This window comes from Homo sapiens, chromosome 4 (genome assembly GCF_000001405.40).
Source record: "Homo sapiens chromosome 4, GRCh38.p14 Primary Assembly".
In the NCBI taxonomy this organism is placed as follows: domain Eukaryota; kingdom Metazoa; phylum Chordata; class Mammalia; order Primates; family Hominidae; genus Homo; species Homo sapiens.
Genome location: NC_000004.12, coordinates 11,310,428 through 11,317,434, shown reverse-complemented (window position 1 = coordinate 11,317,434; position 7,007 = coordinate 11,310,428).

The window sequence follows — 7,007 nt, the reverse complement described above, 5'->3', positions numbered from 1 at the left end:
AGTCAAGAATTGAGGTTTGGGAACCTCTGCCTAGATTTCAGAGAATGTATGGAAATGCCTGGATGTTGAGGCAGAAGTTTACTGTACAGGCAGGGCCCTCATGAAGAACCTCTGCTAGGACAGTGTGGAAGGGAAATGTGGGGTCGGAGCCCCAACACAGAGTCCTTACTGGGCCACCACCTAGTGAAGCTGTGAGAAGAGGGTCACTATCCTCCAGACCCTAGAATGGTGGATCCACCAACAGCTTGCACCATGCACCTGGAAAAGCCACAGACACTCAACACCAGCCTGTGAAAGCAGCCAGGAGTGGGGAAATACCCTGCAAAGCCTCAGGGGCAAAGCTGCTCAAAGCCATGGGAGCCTGCCTCTTGCATCAGTGTGACCTGGATGTGAGACATGGAGTCAAAGGAAATCTTTTTGGAGCTTTAAGATTTGACTACCCAGCTGGATTATGGACTTGCATGGGGCCTGTGGCCCCTTTGTTTTGGCCAATTTCTCCCATTTGGAATGGCTGCATTTACCCAATGCCTATACCCCCATTGTATATAGGAAGTAACTAACTTACTTTTGATTTTACAGGCTCATAGGTGAAAGGAACTTGCCTTATCTCAGATGAGATGTTGGACTGTGGACTTTTGAGTTAATGCTGAAATTAGTTAAGACTTTGGGGGATTGTTGGGAAGACAGGACTGGTTTTGAAATGTGAAGATATGAAATTTGGGAGGGGTCAGGGGCAGAATGATGTGGTTTGGCTCTGTTTCCACTCAAATCTCATCTTGAATTGTAACTCCCACAATTCCCACATGTCAAGGGAGGAACCCAGTAGGAGGTGATTTGGATTATGGGATTGAGCCTTTCCTGCACTGTTCTCATGATAGTGAATGAGTCTCTTGAGGTCTCATAGTTTTAAAAAGAGGGGTTCCCCTGCCGAAACTCTCTCTTTGCCTTCTGCCATCCATGTAAGACATGACTTGCTCCTCCTTGCCTTCTCCCATGACTGTGAGGCTTTCCCAGCCACGTGGAACTGTAAGTCCAATTAAACTTCTTTCTTTTGTAAATTTCCCAGTCTTGGGTATGTCTCTATCAGCAGCATGAAAACGGACTAATGCAAACATGTAGGAATGGGAAGAAAGGAGTATTGCAATGTTATAGTCAGTGTCTCAGGAAGACTTCTTCAGCAGGGTGGCATTTTAGTCAAGGCATAGGGCGATATGGCAGTAAGTCCTGTAGATGTTTGTAGGAACAGCATTCTACCCAGAGGGAACAGTAAATGCACAGGAAGACACAGGGAACATTTGAAAAGAGCAGGGAGAGACCTGCATGGCTAAGCTGAACAAACAAAGGGAAGGGGCTTGGAAATGGAATTGGAGATGGCAGCAAAAGTACCCAGGGCCTGCTGAATTAACAGTTTCATTTATTTATTTATGTATTCATTCATTCATTCATTCATTCATGTGTCTATTTATTTTTGAGACAAGTTCTCACTCTCTCACCCAAGCTGGAGTGCAGTGGTGCAGTCATGGCTCACTGCAACCTCAACCTCCAGGGCTCAAGCGATCCTCTCACCTCAGCCCTTGAATAGCTGGGACTACTGGCTTGCGCTACCACACCCAGCTAATTTTCAATTTTTTGTAGAAGTGGGGTCTCCCTGTGTTGCCCAGGCTGTTCTTGAACTCCAGGACTCAAGGGACCATCCTGTCTCCGCCTCCTAAAGTGCTGGGATTAGAGGCGTGACCCACCATGAAATAACTGTTTTTCACACCAAGTAAGATCGGGGAACCACTGGAGTGCTTTAAAGGATGACTAAGATGATGTGGTTTGTATTTTCAAAGCATCACTCTGTCTCTTAGGTAGACTAGAGGAGAACAAGCTCAGGAACAGGGACTTGCAGCCCCGATCCAAGCAAGAGATGACGGTGGCTTGGATGAAGGTGGTGGCAAGGGAGAAGCTCTGCAGTGGTCAAATTCTGGACATAATACAGTGACAATTCAATGCCCTTCACTGAGTTGTTATTGCAAGGAATAAATGAGTAACTATGTAAAACATTTCCAGCAATGTCCTAAGTAAGTGTTACTTGTGTTTCTGCCTACAGATAGACACACCATTATTGGTGACAACATATTATAAAATTTTCCTAGTACAAAACCAATAGTTTGATCTCCCTTTTTCCTCTTTCCCTTCCTTCATTCCTTTCTTTTCCTTTTTTTTAGATGGAGTCTTGCTCTTGTCACCTAGGCTGGAGTGCAGTGGCATGGCTCACTGCAACCTCTGCCTCCTGGACTCAAGTGATTCTCCTGCCTCAGCCTCCTGAGTAGCTGGGATTAAAGGCAACTGCCGCCATGTCTGGCTACTTTTTGTACTTTTAGCAGAGACAGGGTTTCACTATGTTGGCCAGGCTGGTTTCGAACTCCTGACTTCAGGTGATCCGCCCGCCTCAGTCTCCCAAAGTGCTGGGATTACACATTCCTTTCTTATTTTATTTATTTCTCCTTCTTTTCTTCCTTTCCTCTTTCTTCCCCCTTCCCTTCTATCTTTCATACGTTAATGTATCCATTCAAAGGCAGATAGTTATAATGATTAATCATGTCGGGTGTGGAGTCATACAGACTTGGATTGGCTGTGCCATTGAACATCTGTGTTACCTTAAGTAAGATTAAGATTCTCAACTTCCAGGAGCCTTAGCCTCATTATTTCTAAAGTGAGCACAACAATGGTGTCTACTGTAGGTGGTTGATTTGAAGATTGGGGTAATTCATAGAAAACCCTTAGTCTGGGGCTTGATGCTATAAATTGTTATTAAAAGCTGGCTTTATTATTTATTGTTGCATCAAGTCTGTATTGCCACTAATAACCACTGTGTTTCATATATATAAAGAAAGGGTGCAAAACATATTTACATAGCCCCAACTCTCTACCAGCTCAGAGCTACAGGGGCCCAAGGAAGCAGCAGAGAGCAATAACAGACAAGTCATCTAGAACAGCAAAGCAGGGGAAAATATGGTGTGCTATCCAGTGGTATCTAATCTAGCCCATGAATTTGTAAAAGCCTTTCTGTTGGAGGAAGCAATATTTAAACTCAACCCTAAGGGATTAGTTGAAGTTAGGCGGAGGTTTCCCAGCAGTTTAGGCAGAAGAAGAAACAAGAAAAAAGATTCTGAGGCAAAATATGGCATTACCCAGTCAGAAACTGTAAGCTGTTCCAAGAGAGATTAGTAGAAAATCCTTCTGACAATCAGGTGGTTTTGAACTGGTGAAACGAATTAAACATTTGAACATCTTAAAGCTGGATTTCTTCTTTCACAATTATTCTCTTTGGCCTCAGAAGGAACTCATGATTATAACACCTGTCTTAGCTAATGTCCAAATAATGATATCAATTAGAGGGAAAGAAAAACAGATTCACCACTTTGCCCCACAGCCTCTCCTCCTGTGCCCCAAATCCCCACCATTTTTGTTAATAGCATCAGTATCACCCAGCAGTGAATGAAACTTACTTTCTTTGACAGCTCCTTTTCCGTGTTCCCTGGCTGTCCTTCCCATGCAAGTATGTACATGCATACACAGACATACAAGCAAACACACATAAATTCACCCAGCTAGACACAGAATTATGTCAATCATATCTCCACTACATCTCCTTTTTCCAGCTCCTTTTAGTACTATTGCTGGATCCATATTATGACGTCACTCAGCAAGAATGTTGTGATAGCCCACAATTCATCTTCCCGCACTCCTGCTCCTAGAACAGGCCAGTGGTTAGAAGGCCATTGCTACCAGAATAATCTTTAAATCAAGGGTCAGCAAACGTTTTCTATAAAGGGTCAAAAAGTAAATATCTTAGGTTTTATGGGCCAAGGTTTCTGTGTTGCAACTACTCAACTCTATCATTGTATTGCTAAGGCAGTCACAAACCCGATATGAATGAGAGGGTGTGGCTATGTTCCAATAATATTTTATTTACTAAAACAGAGGTCAGATTTGGCCCTGCTCTTAAGTAAAACTCTTAGCAACACCCCACAACTTCTTCCCACACATACCTTCTGTAGTAATGTCCCCAACCTGAAAGTACACATACTCACTACCACTTCTCAGTTATCATTTCAATCACTTTTCTTCTGGTGACCCCCACCTTCTCACTATGTCTTTACCTTTCTGCTTCACTAAATATTCTCAGTCTTCTGAACATCCGCTATTTGGGTGTCTCTCCTGCCAAATTGCCTAATTAGACTCTTATTCACCTTTCAATTCCATATCTGACACTGGTTCCTTCTCCCAGGGATCTTCTTTATACTGGGAGTTCATCTAAGAAGGTCAGGAAAAAGCTTTTGGGCATTAATGTTCTTACTAGTAGACTTCAGTAGGAAAGAACATGTTGTCATCTTGACAGAGACATTAAGACCACTGCTCTTGACCGACAAATTATTTGACTCTCTTTGCATTGAGTTGCACTGTGAAGTGAGGTATTTGAGTTGAGAAGTTGGGTATTTGATCCTTTCTCTTTGACCACAGAATATGGACAAAAGAATCTGTGACAGTTTCCAGGCTCTGGATTAAGAGAGTGGAATCTTTCACTTTCTGCCTCTTAGAACATTCTATCTGGGAACCCTAGATACTGTTTAAAGAGTCCGACTTTTCTGAGACTGACTACCATACTGGAGATGCTAGGTGTTGGTGCTCAAGTCAGCAGTCTTAGCTGAACCCAGACTTTGAGCCAAGCCCATCAGAACATGAGCCATGTGAGTAGAGTCATCTTGGACTCTATAGCCCATCCACCAGCCAAAGAGATTTGAATAACCTCCATCAGCAGCACAGGGAGCAGGACAGTCATCCAACCAAGCCCTGCCCAAATTCCTCACCAACACAATCATGAGATAAAACAAAATGGTTGTGTTATTAAGTCATTACTTTTTTTGGCTAGCTCATAACACACAATACATAAGCACAATGTAGACTTCTAAATGAATGAACCTGTTGTCCTCAACATTTTCCCCAAGCCAGTAGGTTTTTCACATTCCTGTTTATTTTGTCATTGATCTCCTTCTGCCCAGAATGCACTTCTGCTGTGATTGTTCCTGTGTAGTCTTCCCTTTATTGTCTGTTAAAATCCTAATTTTATTTTATATCCATGTATAATATCACTTCCCCCATGAAGCCTTTTTTGATTTCTCCAGAGAGTTATTGACTGATTCTTTAAAGTTCTCCAGGCACATGATTTATAGATTCATCCATGTAGTGGTTGACTTGTTTTCTGAAATTTCTTTTAATGTAGCTGCCTTCCCCAGCTCAGTTTTTGATATAGTTGTTGAAAATTAGTAGCCACTTAGTAAACATTTATTGAAAGATTCAGTGCAAAAGCTGGGATTTGCACTCTAGTAGTTGGCATATTAGGTTAAAGGTATTGAAGAAAACATAATCATTTACTTACAAATCTAATACAAACTATCCCTATCCCCATCTTAAAAGATAAATGAGTTTTGATATTTCCAACATATAATGTATGTCAGAAAAACATATGGAGGCTAAGTTTTGCTGTGATAATAAGTAAACCCTAAATTTCATAGTTTAAGATGGTATAGGTTTAATTCTCACTCATGCAACAGTATAACACAGATTAGGCAGCTCTCTTGGGCAAAATATTCTTAAGTGGTTATCCATGTATTCAGACTTGTATCTTACAACTCTGCCAATATTGCAGTTATTTTCTTACAGGCCAACAGATAGAAGAAAGGAGTATGGAGAACATGTACCACTATGTTTTGTCTGAGTCAGGGTGACATATGGCTTCTGCTCACGTTCCAGTTGGAAGACACTTAATTACGTGGTCTCCACCTGCATAAAAAGAAGTCTGGAAAATGTAGTCTTTCTGTGTATCCAGGGAGAGAAAATCGCGTGGCAAACACATGTTGTCTCTCTTACAGAGACTGTATTGGTTAGCTCTTGATGAGAAACAACCCAAAATGTAAAATATTCATGTATTTTTTTTCTTTAAATTATTTGAGTCAGCTAAGCAATTATTTGAGTCAGGTCTGTGTTGCATCATCTGGGATTCGATGGTCTAGATTAGTAGTTTTCAAATGAGCCAATTTATATACCTACTTCCAACACCACCAGGGGACATTTGGCAATGTCTGGACACACTTTTGCTTGTCATAACTGGGGGATTTTATTGGCATCTGGTGTATAAAGGCCAGGGATTCTGCTAGTCACTCTACAATGCACAGGACAAGATTCTGAAGAAAAAAAACACTTCAGGCCCAAAATATTAATAGCAGGGAGGTAGAGAAACTCTAGTATAGGATGACCTAACTCAGATGTCATAGGCTGTTCATGCTAAGGAGGACTCAGCTGAGAGGGATGGACTTTCTTCCATGGGGCTTCCATCTTCCAGTATGAGGACAAAGGCTTCTTTACATCACAGTCTCAACATTATAAGGAGCAGCAAGAAAGAGAAGTTCTAATATGTAAGCATTTTTAAGCCTCTGTTTAGATCCACTTTTCAATGTCTCATTGGCCAAAGCATTTAATCTCTTGAGGGGAAAAGCTGAAAATGTGGACCATTTTGCAAGCTAAAACAAAGATCTTGTGTAAAAGTTTTAGTCCTCTACTATACTCTCAAGCTCTATGTGATAAATATGTGTAATAATTCAATGCATTACAACAGGTGTAATTATTATCTCCTTTTTACACAGAGCATTCATAGTGATTTGTAATGATTTAGACTGTGGGCTATGGTGTCAAACTGACTGGGTTCAAATCCCAGCTCCAATATTTTGTATAGAACATAGGGTAAACAGCATACTTTCTCTGTACTTCTATTTCCTCATCTGTAAACCAGAAACAATGACAATAATAACTATTTTTGAGAAGATAACATGAGATATTATATGTAAACTACTGAGTACCCTCTGGAATATAGTAAGAGCTTAATAAATAGCATGTATTAATTGCTGTTAGTAGTGTTATTTCTCTGATTTTGGAAGGGAGCCCAGAGGGGTTCTAACTCCTTT